Source organism: Homo sapiens, chromosome 12 (assembly GCF_000001405.40).
Source record: "Homo sapiens chromosome 12, GRCh38.p14 Primary Assembly".
Lineage (NCBI taxonomy): Eukaryota > Metazoa > Chordata > Mammalia > Primates > Hominidae > Homo > Homo sapiens.
In genome coordinates this window covers 62,306,495-62,329,215 of record NC_000012.12, presented here as the reverse complement: position 1 = coordinate 62,329,215, position 22,721 = coordinate 62,306,495, and the positions used below count along the sequence as shown (strand labels likewise).

Genomic DNA, 22,721 nt, shown 5'->3' with positions numbered 1-22,721 from the left:
ATTTTTAGTAGAGGTAGGATTTCACCATGTTGGCCAGGCTGGTCTTGAACTCCTGACCACTCAAAGTGCTGGGATTACAGGCATAAGCCACCATGCCCAGCCTACTATTCACTAAATATAAGTGAATATTCACTAAATATAAGTGAATTCATTAAATATAAGTGTTATATTTCTTATTTAGGTCTTTAATCCTTCAAGAGTTAGCCTTTGCATATAAAGTTGAAAGTAGGGATCTAGCTTTTTTTTCCAAATAGCCAGTACTCCTACTAAATCTAAATAATCATCTTCTTTAAGCAACCTCACTACCTAGTTGTGCCACATCATATACCAAGTTGTCAAATATACATGAATCTTTCTGAGATTACTAGTTTATACCAATCTATTTGCCTTTCTTTTGCTAGCATTATGTTGTTTTTATTAGTATAATTTTACAGTAACTCTCATTTACCTTGTAGGTCTAGTGTTCCTTCCTTCCTCTTTCTGTCAAAACTGACTCAGCTAATTCTGGACCTGTATTGGTCTATGCTAACTTTAAAATGAATTTGTCAAGTTTCTAGGAAAAAAAAAATTTTGAACAGGAGACACTGATGTGCTTTAAAGAAAACAGGCATTACTAGGTTAAGCCATATATCACATAACAATCTTTTATTTTCTAATAAACTTAGATTTTTTTTTTCCCATGAAGGTTTTATGCGTTTTTAATTAAGTTAATTTTTGTTAGACTATTTTCTAAGTGGGTTTCTCATGATAAATGGCAGGGGTTAGAAATTTATGGCTCACAGGCCAAATCCAAGCTTGCCATCTACTTACAAAGAAAGCTTTATTGGAACACAGGCATTGCCATGTCTTGACATGATGTCTAAGGCTGCTTTCATACTACATCAGCAGTTATAGTTATGACAGAGACCATATGGCCCACAAAGCTGAAAACATTTAAAAAAGATTGCTGATCTCTCGGTATAGAAAAAACAACTGCTTTTTATAAATTAATCTTATATTAGACAACCTTGCTGAATTTTCTCAGTTCTAGTAGTTTGCTGTTTTGGATTTTATACAAATGACTATATCATATACGAATAGTGAACTTTATTTCTTCTTTCTTATCTTCTCCTCTTACTTAAATTGTGCTCAAAATTTCTCAATGAAATGTAACTTTTGCTATAGACTTGAGGTGCACAGGATGTATCAAGTTAGAATTTCCCTTTATTCTTAGTTTTCTGAGAATCTTTTCATACATAGGTGCAGATCTTTTTCTGTATTACAGTAAATTATTATTTGGCAATTTATGACATATTACTGCATAGTATTTCTTAGATTTTATAGGGAATGGATATTTAACTTTTCTATGCTTTAGTATATGGCATCCTTATTCAACTAGTAGATCCAGTGAAAAATAGGACTCTTAATTGTACTTTTGTCATCTCTAGTACAGCACCTGTATTCACCAATATTTATTGCATGAGTATGGTGTGTTGGGTATTACATAGGGAATTCTGTTTTCTTTCACACAAAGCCAAGTACTAAAGTTGTTGGAATAAATAAAAATGATATTGTGCTATTAGGGAATAAAAGAAAATATAAAATTAGTCATCTTTTGGGCAAAAATCAGTCATTTTAAGTAGAAAAGATTTCTCAATCTTTAGAACTCATGGGTTTTTTTTAATATTAATCCACAAACAATTTTGTAATTTCAAAAATAACTTAAAGATATAGCAAGTACATAGCAATCTAAACATTTAGGAAACAACAGTGGTTCTGCTTTGAAGACTAAAAGTAAATGTTCACAAAAAATATTCCTATCTAAACCTTCATCAGTTATGAAATCTCCATAATTCAACCCACATGCTTTTAATATTAACATCTTCTTAAAAGTTCTACTTTTATACTAAGTTCTACCCTTGTACTGCATCCAACTAAGTAGGGTAAGAATAAAAATCACCTCCATGTAATTAACATATTTAGGTGCCTTCTCATGATATTTTTAAATGGGAAAAAAAAATTTCACGTAAGATAAAAAAGGATAGAAAACCACTTATAAAAGGTACATTGTAGTTTTATTTTATTTATTTATATTTATTTATTTTTTGGAGAAAGTCGCATTCTGTTGGCCAGGCTGGAAGTACAGCAGCACGATCTCAGCTCACTGCAACCTCTGCCTCCTGGGTTCAAGTGATTCTCATGCATCAGCCTCCCGAGTAGCTGGGATTACAGGGATGCATCATCACTCCTGGCTAATTTTTGTATTTTTAGTAGAGATGGGGTTTCACCATGTTGGCCAGGCTGGTCTTAAACTCCTGACCTCTTGATCTGCCTGTCTTCGCCTCCCAAAGTGCTGGGATTACAGGGATGTGCCACTGCACCCGGAGGGCATTGTAGTTTTAAATCAAATAAAGTAGCAGATTTTTTTATTCACTTGGTTAAAATGTACTAAATTGTTATTAGTTTTTTAAAAATATCATTATTTTAAGAATTTCAAAATATATGTTCACAATCCCTTATCAGAACATGTGAAATTCCAAAGCTCCAAAAACTTAAAAATTTTTTCACAGTTCATTTGGTGGCAACCTAACCTGAACTGATATAATGCTATTTATAGTCCTTATTTATCCCACTTAGTGTGAATATTTGCTGAAAAAATATTAATGTGTTTGATTATAAAGAAGTGTCCTTTTGCAGAAACAGAAACATTACAGTAATGGAGGGACATGTACCATATTACTTCTTAGAGCTTTGAGAAGTCTGTATATTTAAACACAACTGGCCTTGTGTTTTGATAATGGAGTGTAGATCTATTAGTTCTAAAACAGATAAAAAGATTCCTAATTCTTCTTTCATTTACCCTCAAAAATACCTCATATACTCCTCTACCTCTATTTGTTCTTTTTTATTCTAAAACTTTTCATTTGAATAAATATATTACTTTCACATCAGATTCATTTTGATAAAGAAATATTTTAAGATACTTTTAAAAACCACGAAAAAGCTTCAAGAAATTAAACAAATGTTTAATGATTTGACTGTATCAGACAACGCAACTTTCTCATTTATACCATACATTTATACTATGCCTTAAGATATTTGAATTGGAGGCTTTTAAAATAGTAACATATTAATTAAGAGCAAATTTAGATAGCTTGTATACTAAGAACAAAATACTCAAATATAAACAAGGCATGAATTTCTGCAATACACATCTAGGTTCTTCTATCATTGTGGATTTGATTATCTAGCATCAAGGGCTTCAAAATCATACAATAAGCCATAAGAAGTGGGAGCACTTACTTAGGAGTAGAAGGACCCCTTGGCCATGTTCCATCTTCATTTTTCTGTTCTATCACTAATACCTGCAAATATGACACAATAAAAGGGTGTTTTTCCATAACTCTGAAGTTAAAATAACTTTAGAAGATAGCTGGATAAACTAAGAAACTAAAGTAACTCTGTGATTATTTAAAGGAAAACAGTAGACAAGGTGAACAGGTAATCTGCATTTCGATTCCAAAGCTAGGCAGGTGAGACTAAAAGACCTCAAATAACAAGAAATCAGTAATGATAGTGAGAAGGAATCCTAGAAGATAAACTGTAAAGAAACTATTGGTTCCATTAAGTATAAGAAAACTTAAACCAAGTAAACAGAATATAAATTCCTTGAATTTAGAGAATATATTTTCTATTTGTATTTGTAGGTTGAACAGAGAACTCTGTAAATAACAGATGGTCAATAAATGTTTGCAGTTGTTAAACATACTTACATAGGATCTTGGGTAACTTATTTTTATGCAAATGCAGACGAAGGGCGACACAGATAATTCCAAATTACAGATTATGTAGAATTTATTTGGGGTTTTGAAATTAGTGTGTATTTACATTATCACAATGGAAATTATAGAATCTTTAAATATACAAATGATAGAGTCCCATTTATGAGAATCAGACTGAAGTTCTCTGTTACAGCATGGATGAGGCAGACAGAAATCACCTCTAATAAATAAAAAGTATAGGCTTAGGGAGAGCTATACTTTATTTTAAAACACCCGAAAATCTTTCCTTATATCGTCCAGTCTAATAAGTCTTTCTAGTTTTTGCTATGGATTAGTCTGTGCAAAGAAGAAAAACTTAGCAAAAATAATTAAATTAGCAAAGGAAATATACGATAATACCAATAAAAAGTTAAAATCTACAATTTCCATTGAAAAACTGTAATACAGACAATATGACGTGAAATAAATCCAAGGCATTATAAATTTGAATACATTTCATTTACTGTTTCATTAAGTCTTTTTCTTAAAGTTGCAATTTCATAAACTACTCTACATGCACTTAGTAATATATTTTTGTGAACTATATGTTTCCAGGTCATTTATAAATTGGCATTTAGAGCCTAGCTATGTAAAATGTAAGCATGTTTCAGAGTATATGTAACAATAAAATGTTGATTTTAAAAAAATTCATGAAATCTTGTTGTTAAAAGAGATGCTAATTAAAATATTAAAGTTAGCTTTAAAAAATCTATTATTTCACACATTAAAAAGTGTATTTGTACCATATAAAAAATAAATGTACCATGTACCTAATATACTGATCCCTTCCTGATCACCTTCCTCTCCCTACCTACTAGAGACAAGTAATCACTGTCTCAATTTTCTGATTTTCATTCTGATATAGTTTTATAAATTTATGAAGATTTACAAAGTAGAATTTAGAGAGTGATTTTTCACTTCTCCAGAATGTTTTGCTTTACTGCAATTTATACAAGAGTAACAGTTACATATTAACTATATGTATAAATATACATATAAACTTTACAATCATTTGAGGACTTAAATCAGTTTTAAAACAAGAGATTTTAGCTATAGAAGATTTCAAAGTTATGCATTTAATATAATTATTTAACCATAATGCCTTAATTCCTAACAGTATTTATACTTAAAATTCCATGTTTTAAAAACCACAAATACTAATGCTGAAGACCATCAGAAAGATTAAAATTCAGTCCTTTATTCAAGTGCATCATTTTCTGCATAAAATTTTGTTATAGTTAAAACTTTAACTCCAAATAAAAATATTTTTGAAAAGATTTCAAAATTAAAATTAAACCCACACAAAAAGGAGAGAAGAAATGCTTCACATTTTGGGAGGCAAACTCTTCAATAATATGTCTTTGTTTTATTTTCTAGTAAGGATACTTTCAATCTAAGTATTAAAAAAAAAAAGGTCCAGGAGAGGGTTTATGTCACTTATCTTCTCTGGCTGAAGAATTATTATAAAGTCTGAAAAATTTAATGACTATTCTTTGAAACATTCCTGTTTTTAAAGGTCAAGTCCTTAAGGATACTTAATCTTATTAAATTATTTTCTCATCTGCCATCTGATAAATACATACCTATCAAGAACATCAAATTATTTAACTTCTCTGAGTCTCAGTTTTCTAATGTACACGATGAAAAGAGTAACACTCATTTCAGAGGATTGCTGAAAAGGTTTAAATAAAGAATTCTATAGATTTCAAATTGTACTTTTGGAGCTACCTCAAGGCCTAATGGATGAAAACCAAGGAGAGAGGTTATGTCTACTGGAAGACAGAAAGAGAGAGCTGGCTACATAAAAGGGCGGTGTTGGCTAATCAGTGGATTTCCAAGGTCCACACTTCAAGCTTCTATCAGCTTCATTTCCCTTTTAACTGTAATACATATTGGATTTTGTAAGATTTCTCTTAAGAATATAATGACTAAAATAAATCTGAAAACCACTGTATTTTGACAGCCTAGTACAATTCTTGACATATAGTGGGCATTTACTAAAAATTAATTTCCCTCACTTTATCTGAATTTTTCCACAACTCAGAATCATATTATTGATGTTAACAGTAATTTTTAAACAAAACAAAAAAATCTTCCATTTATCAGAGCACCGGGCATGTTAGGTTCTGAAAATAAAAATAGGGTACAAAGTCTAACCAAAACAAGGACCTCATAGTCTGGGGAGATTAAAATACAAATAACTAAAGCATATAATGAACGATACAAAACAAATATACATACATCTTTGTGGAAGTTAAGGAAGCAATTCTTTTCTCCAAAGTAGAAACATCCTATACCTCAATGGACATTGAGAGAAATAGGGAAGGCTGAATAGATGATGTGACAGTTGAGCTAGAACCTGAAGGATGAATAATCTGATACGGCTGGCCTACATGATGGTATGGGATGGTTAATTTTATTATATGGATGGTTAAAAGGACTTTTTGCTGGATGAATACAGGGACTCCAAAGACGTTTACATCATCAGGCAGATGGAATAACACATCAGAAAGCACAAGAATATGGAATAGCATAGTGTGTTCAGGGAACTATAAGCAGCTCAGTTTGGTACTGCTTGAGTATAAACCACAAAACAAAGATAATCTAGAGATGGTGGAAGAGTAGGTACAAGGTTAAACCATAACTTGCATGCTGGCTTAAAGTGCCTGGACTTAATTATTAAGGAACCAGGAAAAGTTTATGAAAGGAAGACAGTGAAGTTTACATTTTAGAATGAGTATTCTTGCAAAAACAAGACTGTCCTATGGTTATCTGCTAATAACAAAAAAACAAAGGAAGAAAGATTGAACAGACATACAAGAGCCTGGAGATACAGGAATTTGTAAAGAGACTATGAAAGATAAGGGCTGAGAATGGAGCACAGAGATTACTTCAAGACACAGTTAGAAGATAGAATCAGTAGGACTTGCTGACAGTGACTAAACCTCTTCATTTCTCAATACTTTATTAAAAAAATACCGGCCGGGCACGGTGGCGCACACCTGTAATCCCAGCACTTTGGGAGGCTGAGGCGGGCAGATCAAGAGGTCAAGAGATCGAGACCATTCTGGCCCATCCTGGCCAACATGATGAAACCCCATCTCTACTATAAACACAAAAATTAGCTGGGTGTGGTGGCACATGTCTGCAGTCCCAGCTACTCAAGAGGCTGAGGCAGGAGAATCACTTCAACTTGGGAAGCAGAGGTTGCAGTGAGCCGAGATTGCATCACTGCACTCCAGCCTGGGCAACAGAGTGAGACTCCGTCTCAAACAAACAAACAAAAAAGCCAAATTGGGAGCTGACACCTTTCAACAAGGGCTGGCAAACTAGAGTTCACTTAGCCTGCTGCACATTTATATAAATAGCTTTATTAGAACATAGCCATACTCATTTATTCATGTATCATCTATGCTTGTTTTTGTGTACTACAATGGCAATGTTTTAGATGCTACTTTATGGCCTGCAGAGAACTGTAATTTGTAATAAAGAACTGTGTAAATAAGAGATGCTCCATATATGTTTACTATTTGGTCTTTCACAGAAAGTTTGCTGACCCACCTTATAATATTAGCTGGGATTTTTTTCTAATTAAAAATGATTTCTTTTTAACAAGTAGATTATTCCCAAGCTCAAGGAGGGAATCAAAAGTCAGAGTCAGTAACCAGCAAGGAAAGACAAGAGATGAGTTTAGAAAGAGGAAGCCAGAAACAGTACAGCCCATTATATATTGCCAGGATAATTATTAAAGTTTGTGAATCCAAAAACCTTCATGTATAATACAGTATGCTTAAAATAAACAATACCTGTCCTTGGTATAAACCAGCATCCTGAATGGTGCTGTCTGGTTTATTCAGTGGTTCAAATGTGTTACTCATGTATTTGTTCCACAATCTGGTCTCCTTTTCATCTGGAATACTGAAGATTTTTCTTATTTCCTTTTCAATTGTATCTAGATTTAAGGAGGAAAGATATATAAATATAGTATGTATTTCAAAATATACCACATACAGCTAAATGTTACCAGCACAAAAATTCTTTAAAATACTAATAGAAAATCAAGACTAAATATGTAATAAATCTATAAAACACAAACCAACAAAAGGGTTTTTAAGACCAAGTTTTTATGGAAAAAATGGTATTTGTACTCCAACAAATTACTTGGGGAATTTAAAATCTCAAAAGGTAAGAGTTCAATCACCTAACACTAAAATACAATTTATGCTACACAGGATAAACTTTAAATTTTAACATACTATAATTCAAATATTTTCTGAGGAGATGTAGGAATTAGAAATTAAAGTATGATTAAGAGATGTTACAGATTTTTTTTAGTGTGCAAAATTTTTTAAGTACCACATAAGCAATTTAAAAATAATTTATATTAAACTGAACAGCTCACTAGAATATATGGACACAATAAAAAAGAAAGTGCCTTGTTTGAAGGGATGTCTGTATTCACCAAAATTTAGTATTTTCAAAGTAAAGTCACGTCTTTTTCTGATTTCTAAATCAATTTACTGAAATTTCATCTAGTTCTGGTCAATAACTTGCCTAATCAACTCAAGAAAATAGTAATCAAAATATTTTATGATATATGAATACAGAATACTTTTAGATTTTAGAATAGTTGTAGTTTTGAAAAAATTTATAAAATATTAAACTTAATAATATACGTTCTCCGAAGAAATATGAAAACCCACATCTATCCTACATAATTTAGTCCAATAATACTATCTACTTAGCAGCTAATGTTTTGTAATAGTCTTGTAGTCAGTAAGGTTTTGATAAGGGCATTAAATCAGTAGGAAAAAAAGGCACTAATTCAAAATATCAACAGCGTTATCTCAAAACTTAAAGCAAATCACCCAGAATATTTAAATAATTACATAAAATAAATATACTGTTAGTACTTGTATTAGTCTGTTCTCACACTGCTATAGAGAACTACCTGAGACTGGGTAACTTATGAAGAAAAGAGGTTTAATTGACTTACAGTTCCATGGGCTGTACAAGAAGCATGGCTAGGAGGCCTCAGGAAACTTACAATCATGGTGGAAGGCGAAGGGGAAGCAAGCACATCTTATCATGGAGGAGCAGGAGAGAGTGCGAAGGGGGAAGTGCTACACACAAACAACCGTATCTCATGAGAACTCATTCACTATCACAAGAACAGCAAGGGGGAAATCTGCCTCTATGATCTAAACACCTCCCAGCAGGCACCTCCTCCAACACATGGGGGATTACAATTTGACATGAGATTTGGGTGGGAACACATAGCCAAGCCTTATCAGTACTGCTTTCTACTTTGGCAGGGTTGTATTTTTTTCTTTTTGTTCTTTTTATTAAAGTGAACATGTATACAGAAACATGCACTAATCATCAGTATCTTGTGATAAATTTCCAAAGTGGACACACCCATGTAAATTGCACCAAGATCAAGAAACAAAACATTACCTAGAAAGAGGATAAAGGAAGAAGCCAAGGAAGGGAGCTGTTTTAATCTTTCTATAAAAATGAATAAATGTTTCCTGAGGGCAGAAATAATTTTTGCTTTTGGCAAAAATACCAAAAATACTGACAAATATAAATAAAATGTCTACCTAGATATAACCACTGTTGACATTCTGATATTTCTTCTAGATGTTTTTTCTATTAATACAGGCATCTGTGTACATAACATGTTATAAACAAATGTGGAAATTTCCTCTTCATTGAGTTTTGTGATCTAATTTACATATGGGGGAACATTACAGGCATAGGGGTAGTAACGCAAAAGCCTTGAGGTGCAAATGTGCTTGGCATGTTTTAGAATAGCCTGATACATCAATGTGGCTGAAGTAGAATAAGTGAGGTAGAAATGAGACTATAAAGGTACTTCTGTAGGATTATATACACTTCTGTGACCTATCAAAGTATTTATATTTTAATCTGAGCAAAAGAGAAAGCTATTGAGGAGTTGGGAAGAGAAGTGGCATGATATGACTGACATTTTAAATGTTCACTTTTGCTGGTAGTGAAGAACACTGCAGAAGGTCTGATAAGGTTTGGCTCTGTGTCCCCACCCAAATCTCATGCCAAATTGTAATCCCCAGTGTTTGAGGAGGCACCTGGTGGGAGATGACTGGATCATGGGGGCAGATTTCCCCCTTGCTGTTCCCATGACAGTGAGTGAGTTCTCATGTGATCTGGTTGTTTGAAAGTGTGTAGCACTTCCCCCTTTGCTCTCTCTCTCTTGCTATGCCACGGTAAGATGTGGTTGCTTCCCCTTTGCCTTCCACCATGACTGTTAAGTTTCCTGAGGCCTTCTAGCCATGCTTCCTGTACGGCCTATGGAACTGTAAGTCAATTAAACCTCTTTTCTTCATAAATTACCTAGTCTCCAGTAGTTCTTTATAGCAGTGCGAGAATGGACTAATTCAAGGTCAAAGGTGGGAAACTAGGTTACTGCAACAATCCTAACCAAAGTGGTAGCAATGGAAGCAGTGTTAAGTGGTCTGACTGAGAATAAATTCTGAAGGAATTGCTAAGAAGATATGCTGCTAGATTACATGAAGGGTGAGAAATAAAAGAATCAGAAATGATTTTTGGCCTAAGCAATTGGAAGAGCAGAAGTGGGAATTATGGAGATAAGGAAGAATGACAGAGCCTAAGGTTTTTTGGGAAAGGGAGCTTAGTTTTATATCTGATAGTCTTCTTGAGAAGCCTGTCAGATATACAAATGAAGATATGGGATAGTTCAAACTGGAATTATGGGAGACTTCAGGGCAGGACCTATCAACTTAAAAGATATCAACACATGGAAAATATTTAAAGCCAGGAGAACAAAAGAAATCACCAAGGAAAGGAGGGCTGGGAGAATATGGAGACACTGATATTTTGAGATAAAGAATATGAAGAAGGTTTTACAAAGGACTCCAACAAGATGCAGCCAGTGAGAAACTGTGCCCAGGAAGCCAAGTGAAGAGAAAGTGCTTCTAGATAGAAAAGTAGTTTATCTGTGTTGTACTTTGCTGGCAGGTCAGGAAAATGGAAGATTTCTATATTACCACTGGATTTGTCAATGGCAAGGTCATGAGAGACTATGACAGTAGTAGTACCAACAGAGTGGTAGGTTTCGATGTCTCATGTAGTGGGCTCAAGAGAAAATGGGAGCAGAGAAAGTGGTGGCCAGAATGCAGGATGCTAAAATTGAGATCTGGCAAGTGCAGTTACAGATAACAACAGCCTAGGGTTTAACTGTAATAATTGGTGGCTGAGCTTGGCTGATGGTTGAGATCACTGAAGTTGAGAATGGTCAAAGGACTGACAGTGTGTGCTTATTTTTCCACATATTAATTCAACTGTACTAGCCAGTTAATGAAAAGCATACAGAGGTAGAAAAATAATACAGGTTACTCACAAAAATTAGAAATTAAAAAATATTAATACAGGTCATAGAAATTAAATCATATTTTTCAAGAAGTTTTATGTTTTTGGTAGTTAATCTTAAAGGAAAATAAAACTATTATTTTATCTCTTACTTAAACATGCTCAATGCTCAAATATATCAATTTTGGCAGAAAACATTTGAAGGCAGAAGATTTTGGCCCTGATAGGTAAATCATTTAGATATGGCCTATGGCCTGCTATCATTTTTACTATATATCAGTGTAGGTAGTACTAGCTGAAAACAGAATATTTTATTAATTTGGTAACAAGAGAAAACAGACACTTATATTTCCTAAATCTGTTCATAAAATTTATACAGCTGTATTTCACATACATAGCTATTTTAATCATTTTCAATCAAGATTTCTTAAAAGACCATAAGGGAAAAATACATATCCATCTTAAGTTCCTTATGTAAATTCTGTGTTTCAAAACCCACTTCCTTTAGAAAAACAAAATCAGCCCAGTTAATATCTCCAAAACGAATATTCCTTTAGCATACACAGATTGTGTAAGGCAGCAATTGAGAGATGAGACTCTAGTTTAAGAGCTCTGCTTATGAAGTTAAAGTACTAGCTCTACCACTTGGTACCAGGGTGAATTGAAGTAGATTCTAAATCTCAGCTTCATTATCTATAAGAGGAAGATACCTGCTTGTTTAACTTCAAACAAGAAAATTCCTGTAAAGTGCTTAAAACATAGTAAATATTCAACAACTGTTAACCTGTACTATAACCATAACCATGAAGTGTCTAAAATTCCTGACTTGACTAATTTTTGCAAACCTTTTTGCTTAAGAAGAAGACTCATTCTACCACAGACTTTCAAATTTTTTAAACTAAGAGCTATAGTAAGAAATTGTGACCCAGGAAATAAACATATATGTTGATATTTTGTATTCTAATATCTCCCATTCAATTTTCTTTACTCCCAAAACTGTTTAATGAACCACCAAAATATCAACAATCCAGTTTGAAAAACAATGATTTAATACAGTAAAAAATTATAGCTATGCAAAAATTGGGTTCATATATAATGTTAAAGTACATATCCAATTTATCTAGCATTTTAAAGTATTAGTATATATGTTGATTAAAATCTATGCTAGATTGTAAACTTTTTGAAGCAGTGATCCTTTATAAATTACATATCTTCGTGACAAATTCTTACACAGTTCTTATCATGAGAACCCATAATTCTTGTTTTGAATTCAGAAATTAAATCAGTTGCTGATTTTCCTGAGTTTCAAAATACCTAGTATAATAATGTTCTAAAATAATATCTCTGATGGTCTCATATTTAATTTTCCTATCAAAATGAGGCAGGGAGAGAAGAAAATACCAAACTTTAAAAATAACTAGAAAACATTATTTTAAGAGGTAGCTTCTCATTTATATTCCAATTGGCTATAAACTTCAGAGACGACTCTCTGAATTAATTTTAACAGACTACCCTTATTAAATTTATAGACTCTTCTCATGTACATATTCATATGATTAAAATAATTTTCATATGTTGAAAACTTTGTTTTTAATATGTAGAAATATCTTATTTTCCTGAATATATTCTACAAATGTGGAAATTCAAAAGTCAAGCAATTTATCTGTAATAATAATTATAATAAAACTTACATATGAAATTCCTTATCTTTTAAGCATTCATTTTAGAAAGATGACTCTATGGGCTTTTTTTTTTTTTTTTGAGATAAAGTCTCACTCTGTTGCCAGGCTAGAGTACAGAGGTACGGTTTCGGCCCACTGCAACCTCCACCTCCCGGTTCAAGCAATTTTTTTGCCTCAGCCTCCCAAGTAGCTGGGACTACAGGCGCACACCCACTACACCCGGCTAATTTTTGTACTTTTAGTAGAGATGGGGTTTCACCATGTTGGCCAGGCTGGTCTCGAACTCCTCACTTCAGGCGATCCACCCGCCTGAGCCTCCCAAAGTGCTGGGATTACAGGTGTGAGCCACTGCGTCCGGCCAACTATCAGCTTATTGAAACTTAATCTCGAACTTATAAATGTTCTAGCTAAATGAAGAGGGGAGAATAAAGATTCATAACATAATGCTGTATTTTATTTGGTGCAAACATTAGGATTAACCAAGCACTGAGTACTTGAATAATGCTACTATTTCATAAAAAATACGGGTTAAAAGGATTTTCCAGCTGTGAAGTGGGTAAGTGGTGAAAGAAAGCCAAATGCAGTTAATGAAATTCAGAAATACTTTCATTTACTTTAATGACTGGTTCCAACAAGGAAATCTTATGCCACGCTATAATTCATAAATTGGCTAATCTGTTTCCAAGCTGGGTTCTACAAGTTATGTGTCCTTCTTCACTGTTCATTTGTATTTTCTAAGATCAATGGTATTACCATTAATCTTGTTTTACAACTTCATTTGAAATTAAATACTTTAAAAATTCTTGAGTTTTATGAAACAAAAACCATGTAATTTTTATTAAATTCATAATCATTTATTTTAAAAAACATTTTATTCAATCTATTCTTTACCTAAAATTAAAAATGTGTCTTTTAAATAGAAAGAAAACAATTTATATATATTTTAATATATAGAGAGAATTAAGTCCACTTATATTTGACTTACAACTGCTTACGCTACTCATTAATTTGAAAAATCAATGTGTCAAAATAACGCTAAGCCTGCTGCCTTGGCTACTTGACTGTATTTATAGTACCAAAGAATAAACTAAGAGAAAAAAGGAAATAACCAATTGTCATTTTCCATGCTACCTTACCAAGTTTTAATTAAGTTTTTATTTAAAGGTCTATGTTACAAATGACACACCAGTTGCTAAATAAAAACAATAATTATTTGATGTTTTATAAAAAAGCAAAACAGCACAAATGTTAAAATTCATTTAATAAATGCAAAAGCATACAAGAAACAATAAATAATTTAACTCTAAGACATTGTATCAAAGCTGGAAATCAAATGTCTATATATAAATCCTTAAAATGGTTATCATCCAAGTAGCATATACAAAGATAATTCTAATTAAATATCTAATAGCAATGGATTAAAAACAAGACAGGATCTTGCATTACCTATTGTGTCAGCTTTGCTAAATCTTCGAGTTACAACATTATTCATGTTTCCATTTTCACATAGCTTCAATTCTGTGAGATATACTTCTACTTTGCAGTGCTTTACAAACATACCCTGTTCAACCACCTAAAATAATGAAACAAAACAAATCAGTGTCACCTATATCAATATATTTCACTCTAATAACAATACATTTAAAGAGACTTTAGAAAACTGCAGATCTCCAGTGAAAAACCAGTCACTATTAAAGCCTGCCAATATATATAAAAAAAGATATTGGATAGTTAAAACTTCAAAAGCAAGAAAACTTTTTGGAAATTTTGATATTTAAAAGAAAGAAATAATCATGATTTTAAAACATTAAGTGACAGTTTGGAAAGGCATTCTATTGATCTATGAAGATACACTAGTACACCATAAATAATTAATATTCAGTATTTATAATGAGAAAGATTACCCAAAATGACTATGTGCAAATATATATGTACGTTCTCTGTTTATACATTATAATACAAATAAACAGAGTTCTGATTGAAGATACAAACATACTTCTTAGCTTTTAGTAGTGATCCCAAGCAGAAAACCTTTAAAAAGTTGTTTATACAATTTGAACTTAATGGCTATATTATCACTGTTATGTTAAAATATATCTATTAAAATGATAACTCCAAATCACTGTTGCCAAAATATCCAGCTATGGCTAGGTAACTGATATGTTAGTTTCACCCTACAGTGACTTACTTTGTTTGACCTTTAACTACACACTTAGTAATTCTATGCAGCAATTAAAAGAAAGCTGTTAAGCATGCAAGCCATAAAGCATAAAAAGGAAATATGTATATATTAAGGTCACCTTTTAAATAAGTATAATTCCTTTCGATCTTCTAAAGGTTAACTGTAGGATTTCAGTCATGAATACTGTTTCTGAAAATAGTAATAGGCCTGATATGTGATCCATTAGACAAATATGGCAAAAGGGAGGCTCCAAATGACCGTTGGGATATACTCACAAGCTTACATCAATTCAAAAGAGGACTTTACAAACTTGTCTTTCACTGCATTGAAAAAATTCAAATGCAGTTCATCTAGTATTTACTATCTAATCCAACACACATTTTTATGATACTTTGTCATATATATTTTCTTAATCATACTTGTTACAATTTTTTTAAACAGGTAGCAGCCTGTACCTCTCCTTCTGCTAATAAATGTAATTTGTTTTGTAAAACCAATATGTTAAACTACTGAGATTTGTTTTAAACATCTTAGGCTGATTTACTTCATGGTTACAAATGTAGTAACATTTAATTTTATAAGATTACTTGTAGTTATATTTAAGTAGAGAAACAAGGAATCAAATATTCTTATCAGTCAGTAATTTCTATACTGGGGCTCAATAGCTGAGTAAAATCCTAAAATAAACTACATTAAAGTAGCTACTAATCACTGGTAGTAACTAAAACTAAGGTAAACTGCAGGCCTCATTTTTATGGAAGAAAAAGAAAAATGGAATGACCAACACAAAGCAGGAAAAGGAATAAGTATGGTTAAAAAACAAAACCCCCATTATGATTTATATTGAGGTATATACTTTCTAAATAGGCATAGTTTTCTAAAAATGAAAATACATTTTCATAATACTATAGATATTTTCCTGGAAAGAACCTGGTGACTTAACTGTCAGAGTTATTGTGAGATCTATGAAAACAAAATATCAAGAATATTTCAAAGTCCACACTACTGGGATTCAGAATTTTTCTCAACATTTTTTTCTTCTTTCCTACATTTTACATTGCTAAAATCTTCATCATCACTACTCAGAAAACTGCTACTATATTTATAAGATATTTATTTTACTAATTCCCAAAGTAGTGTATTAACAAGGTGTTGTTTTTAAAAATATGAGTTTGTTGTCAAACTATTTTTATATGAAAAGGTCATACTATATGTACTATTAAAGCTTGAAAATAACAGCACCATAAAAAGAAAAATAATTAGCACATTTACGAATCAATGTGTAATGGTCACATGTAGATTATTTGCTTATATAATCTCCTTCATATTTGTTTACATAAAATCTCCTTCCTACCTTAATTAAAAATGTATGCATTGAAAATGATGGTCATGAAGACTAACAGGAAGAAACAAGCTTATAAAAAAAGTATAGTTTTATTTACCTAATTATTATAACTATTAAAATATGTATTTGAAATAAGATCGGAAGGGGGATATTCAGAAGTGATAGTTATGTTTCAGTATTATAGATGATAGTTATAATGTTTACTCTAAGTGAATTATAACACTGTTATATTACCATAAATAAAAAGTGAGTACATGATGAAATCTGGCTCCTTGTCCAAAATGGAAGACTTATGGATATGTAAACATATTTTCATTAATTTATAACCATAATGAAGGCAAAGTCTCTTTACTAAGTATTTGAGCTACATATAAGTTTACAGAGGATTAAAATAAATAATTTCTATTTGTTCATTTTTTGCTGTGAATATTTAGGGTATTTTTTACAAGGCCATTAAACATATTAAATAAACCTAATATAGTCTACCCTTTATGTCTGTGTATGAAAAGTTTCATGGAAACTTTACCTTCATTCCAAGTATGCTCCCTCCCTGAAATGGGAAGAGAAATATAAGTAATTTCTAAAAAAATCTAGTACTATATAAACAATTTCATAATACCAGGCCTCTAACAGACTGACTTACTCTTTTGTAGAGCTAGCTTCATTCATTTTAAAAGCATTTATTGAGTACCTACATTTGGTGCAGATAAATTAGACCTAGATCCTGGAGCCTGAGTGAGAACAGATAACGGTGAAGACAGAGAAGTAGATAAATACAACAAAACTATGAAATCATAGTTCTTAATGTGTAAGAAACAAATCCTATGTATGTGATTTTCCATCCACAAATACTTCAGAATATTCAGAAACAAAGACTCAAACATAACCACAATACCATCATCACACCTAAAAAATTAAAACTAATCAATTAATATCAAATATCCAGTCAAAAGTCAAATTTTTCCTTCTGTCTCATTTTTAATGTATTGTTTGAATCAGGATCCAAATAAGGTCCATATATTGCCAATAGACTAATTCGTCTCTTAAGTGTCTTTTAACCTAGAAGTTCTCCATCTTTCCTATTCTTGTAATTTTTACTTTAGACCACTGCATAGATGGTGACATACACTCACTCTGAACAGGATGCAAACATCTAGTTGCTCCTTTTTTTGTGATGCTGGTAGACATTAAAGCCAATGCCTAGATCTAGTGATGGGCAAACTTATGAACTAAGTTTGGCTAAACTTAGGTTTAGATGGCTAAATCTACCCATCAATCTATTTTTGTATATAGTGCTTTACCGGAACACAACAACCCCCATTCATTTATGTTTACGGCTACTTTCATACCCAATTATTAATTATCTAGGGCTGCTTTTATGCCTAAATCAGCAAAGTTTAGTCATTTCAAAAGAAACTAAAGGGCGCATAAAGCTAAAAATATTTACTATCTGGCCCTTTACAGAAAAACATTAGTGACCTACTCCTTCTCCTACATCTTCAGCTTCTAGACCTTCAGGCTAGATCCATTAATTCATTAAGTCTTCTTTAATTTTACCCAGTAATGTTTCACAATTTTCAGTATAGAAAAACACAGTTCTTACTAGGTTTATTCCTAAGTATTTTGACCTGTAAATGTTATTTTAAAATTCAACTTTATTAAGAGACAACCTGTTGAAGTGTAGAAAATATTTATAAGCTATTCATCCAACAGAGGATTAATATCCAGAATATACAAGGACTCAACAACTCAACAGGTAAAAATCAATCCCATTTAAAAGTAGGCAAAGGACATGAATAGACATTTCTCAAAAGACAAATGAATGGCCAACAGGTATATAAAAATGTTCAACATCACTAATCATCAGAGAAATGCAAATCAAAACCACAATGAGATATCACCTTAACCAAGCCATAATGGTTATTATTAAAAAGACAAAAGACAACAGATGTTAGCGAAGATGCGGAGAAAAGGGAACACTTATACACTGTTGATGGGAATGTAAACTAGTACAGCCACTACAGAAAACAGTGTGGAGATTCTCAAAAATCTAAAAACAGAATTACCATTGAATCCAGCAATCCTACTACCGCATATCTACCCAAAGGAAAAGAAGTCAGTATATGAAAGGGATACCTGCACTCACATGTTTATTGTAGCACTATCTACAATAGCAAGATATGGAACCAACCTAGGTGCTCATCAATGGATGAATGGATAAATATTGTATATATATATAAACAATGGAGTACTATTCCGCCATTACAAAGAATGAAATCATGTCTTTTGAGCAACATGGATGAAGCCGGAGGTCGTTATATTAAGTGAAATAAGCCAGGGACAAAACGACAAATATCATCTGTTCTTACTTTTACGTGGAAGCTAAAAAATTTGATCACATGAAGTAAAGAGTGGAAAGATAGATAACAGACACTGGGAAGGATAAGGAAGGGAGCAGGGAAGGATGAAGGGAACTGGCTTAAAAGTACAAACATACAGTAAAATGGAATAAATTCAATGTTTGGTAGCAGAGCAGGGTGACTATACTTAACAAAAATGTATTGAATTTGGGTGAAGGACACCCAAAATACCCTGACTTCATTACTACTTATTATATATATGTAACAGATTTTCTCATGTACACCACTAATTTGTACAAATAAAAATAAACTTTATTTGTTGCCAATAAAAAACTGGTTTCCCTATACTGCCCTTATATCAGGCAACCTGTTAAATTTACCTATTAATTCTAATTGTTTACCAGTACATATTTTTGGAATTTTAAACCTGTAGAATCGTGCCTTCTAAAAACACTGACAGTCTTGTATCTTCTTTTACAAGATTCACTCTTTTAGTTCTTTTTACTATATTACCATACTGGCTAAGATTTCTAACACAGTTATTCTTGACTTGGGAAGAACTTTTAATATTTTACCAATAAGTACAATATTTACAGGCGATTTCTAGTCCTAGTTTTCTAGGAGTTTTTTTTTTTAAGATCATACATGGATGTTGAGCATCAAATGTTCTTTGTATCTCTATTGAGATTATTTTTCTCCTTTAGTCTGCTAAAATTATGAATGCTTTTCAAAGTTAAAATTGTATTCTTTGAAAAATATCCACCTTGGTCATTTTTGTCCTTTTTACATAATGCTGGATTTGTCTTGCTAACATTGTGTTTAGGACTTAAGCATCTATGTTCATGAGTGAGACCAGCCTGTAATTTTTCTTTCTTGTAATGTCCTTCAGGTTTTATGTCATGTTTATGCTAGCCTTATAAAATAAGTTGGGGAGTACTGCTTCTATTCTCAGAAAGAATCTGTGTGGTATTGGTTTATGGCTTCCCTAAATATTTGGTAGAATACACTGGTAAAGCTTTCTTGGCCTGAAGCTTTCTTTGTGGGAAGGTTTTCAATGACTCAATTTCTTTAATCACATAGGTGAATTCGAGTTTCCTATTTCTTACTGTATTGACATTTTAAAGTTCTGTTTGTCTAGAAATTATCCACTTCATCTAAATTTTCAAATTTACATAAAACTGTTCAAAACATAATCTTTTCAAAAAAGTCTTTAGACTCTGCTATGATGTTTCCTTTTTCATTCGCAATATAGGTTATTTGTGCCTACTCTCTTTTTATTCTTAAACAATCCTGCCAGGACTCATCTTTACTTTACTGGTCTAATTTCACTGCTCTCTACAATGACTGAATTTTGTTCATTTAATGTAGGTTTGTTTTCTATTTTGTTAATGTCTACATTATAATGTTTCTTCTTAAGTTCAATTTCCTTAACTTGTTGAGACAATAGATTTTCACTTTCTTTTCCAATATTTGCACTGAAGCTATAAAATTCCTTCTGAGAATTTCAGCCAATCTTTTAAGTTGTATTTTAATTATTATTCAGTTTAAAATATGTCTAATTTTCATTCTTCTCTTTGCCTCAAGGATTACTTAAAAGTATATTTTTCCATTTCTAGATAGTTGGGGGATAATCAGGTTATCTCTTTGTTACTGATTTTAGCTTAATCCCACTAATGACAGAAAATACAGTGAACAATTTCTATCATTTGAAGTTTACTGGAATTTTGATAACCCAGAATATGGTCAATTTTGCTTAAAAATTCCACTTAATAGAAATGTGTATTCTGCAATGACTAAGTACAATGTACATGTCAATTAGGTTATGGTGGTTAATCATGTTGTTCAAATCTTAATTACAAGCTCACTCATGTAGCTGTTGGCAGCCTCTGTTCCTCATTATGTGAGTCTCTCTATAGGGTAAGTTAAGGGCAAAGTTATGGCTTCGCCCAGAGTGAGTGATCCGAGGGGAGGGGATGAGGGAGGTATGTGCACTCCCAATAGAAGTACAGGCATCCATTAAGGACTAATCTCAGAAGTGACATACCACCACTTCTGCCACATGCTACTGACTGCATAGACCAACTGTCGTACAATGTGGGAAAGGATTACACCAGACTAAGGATTCTAAGAGGTCACAATCACTGGGGAGCATCTTTGAGGCTGGCTACCACAGTCTACCCCCTGGCCCCCAATGATTCACAGTTCCTTCCCCCAAAATACAAAATACACTCAGTTCTTCCAAAGGCCCCAACTAGTCTCAATTCATTTTAGCAACCTGGAGTTCAGAAATTTGTCATCTATAATTGACAAATTATAAATTTTCTATAAGCCTTTGAAGACATATATTCCGAGACCCCTAGTGGATGCCTGAAACTACAAATAGCACACTAATCCCTATATTCACTATGTTTTTTCCTTTACAAACATACATACCTATGACGAAGTTTAATTTATTAATTACGCACACTAAGAGATTAACAATAGCTAATAATAAAATAGAACAATTAGAACAATATACTATAATAAAGGTTATGTGTATGTGGTCTCTCAAGGTAGCTTATCATATTGTACTCACCCTTTTTCTTGTAATGATATGAGATGATTAAATGTCTACCTGATGAGAAGAGGTGAAGTGAATGATGTACATTGTAACGCTGCATTATGCTACTAATGCCCTTCAACAAAGCACTGTGACAGTAGATTGATAACCAAGATGGCTACTAAGTGACAAACGGGAAGGTAGTGTATAGTGTCCATGGGGAGGACATGGAGTGGGATGGCATCATGTTACTCAGAATGGTGCACAATTTAAAACTCACGAATTGTTTATTTCCAGAATTTCCCACTTAATATTTTTGGACCATGGTTGCTTGCAGGTAACTGAAATCGCGGAAAGCAAAACCATAGATAAGGGGGACTACTGTAGTGCCTCTTGATGTATAGGCCTGTGAACTAAGAGACAAGTTTTCTGCCCCCCATACACCCAAAATAAAACAATGAAGCACACAGAACATAGCCTTTTAAATATTCCTGTTTTGTAAGAGGGGAAATAGGACGTACAAAGGAATCAATGGTCCATAACGATTATGAAATCTACCTGGACAAATACTAGAAATTCCTTGACTGGAACTCAGTTCTACCCTTGCCTGAAAATTATTCTATCTAACATTTGGTTCTGTTCTCTGAGTCATCCTTTTTTCATGCATTAGCACATGCTTGAAGTTAAGTAAATTTTCAGCCTGATTCCTACTTATTGGAGTTTGGGAGGTCAAAGGCGTCTTTCATTTAATACTGCTTCTGCAGTCCAAAATGGCAGTGGTTCTGCGAGGTAATTCGAAAACAATGTAGGTCTCCACTGGATCTTACTGGAGTTCATTCCATTAGACAAAAGCCATATCCACAAATGTTCTGTAGGATAAGTCCTCTCTACTTTGGCTTTATGCTGAGAAAGCTAAGGGGTTGCCCGTAAGCTTCTTGAAGCCCTCCTGTTCTTAGAAGCCACATATTGAGAAGACACCCTTAATATTAATTAATATTACTACTGACAGGACAACCTCTAAGTTAACCCTTAAATACTTTATAGGGCCTTTTGTCTGAATAGTACTGTGAGGCATGACCTTTGATTTTTCTGAGGTAACTTACAGTCACACCCTTGGCTGCCAGATTAGATCACACTTTTTTTCTGAGAATACTCTGAGTTTTATCTTTGCTCAGAAACACTGCTTAGTATTAGCACCGTTTGCCATCTGGAGGGACTAGGAATCTTCAAAACTAGTAAATATTGGCTCTGTTTTATTGAACAATCCTTTCTTTAGTGTATTTCTCTTCTCTCACATCTGACTATAACCAACACAAAAAGAAACTAGGCAGTACTTTTAACACTTTGGCAGACCTATAATTTCATTAAATACTATCTTTAACCTTTCAGTTTACTGCAGGCAACATGTTGCTAAACTTACTCTACCACTGTATAACAAAGAC

At 32.7% G+C, this 22,721-nt stretch overlaps 1 protein-coding gene across 14 annotated transcripts in view; it reads right to left on the bottom strand.

Annotated features, from left to right (window-relative positions):
- The window catches only part of USP15 (ubiquitin specific peptidase 15), a 155,986-nt gene that overhangs the window by 87,174 nt on the left and 46,091 nt on the right, over positions 1-22,721 (bottom strand). For 12 of the 14 annotated variants that reach the window (NR_147078.2, NR_147079.2, NR_147082.2 and 9 more), the window contains 3 exons: positions 14,300-14,426; positions 7,607-7,752; positions 3,283-3,344 (listed from right to left, as the gene is read on the bottom strand). Coding sequence is in view for 5 of the 14 variants with exons in the window: in NM_001252078.2 (NP_001239007.1) it covers positions 3,283-3,344; positions 7,607-7,752; positions 14,300-14,426 (335 nt within the window). In the remaining 9 variants the exon portion in view is untranslated. The remainder of the gene's footprint in view (positions 1-3,282; positions 3,345-7,606; positions 7,753-14,299; positions 14,427-22,721) is intronic. The other 2 variants (NR_147080.2, NM_001351160.2) reach the window with 1 other exon arrangement.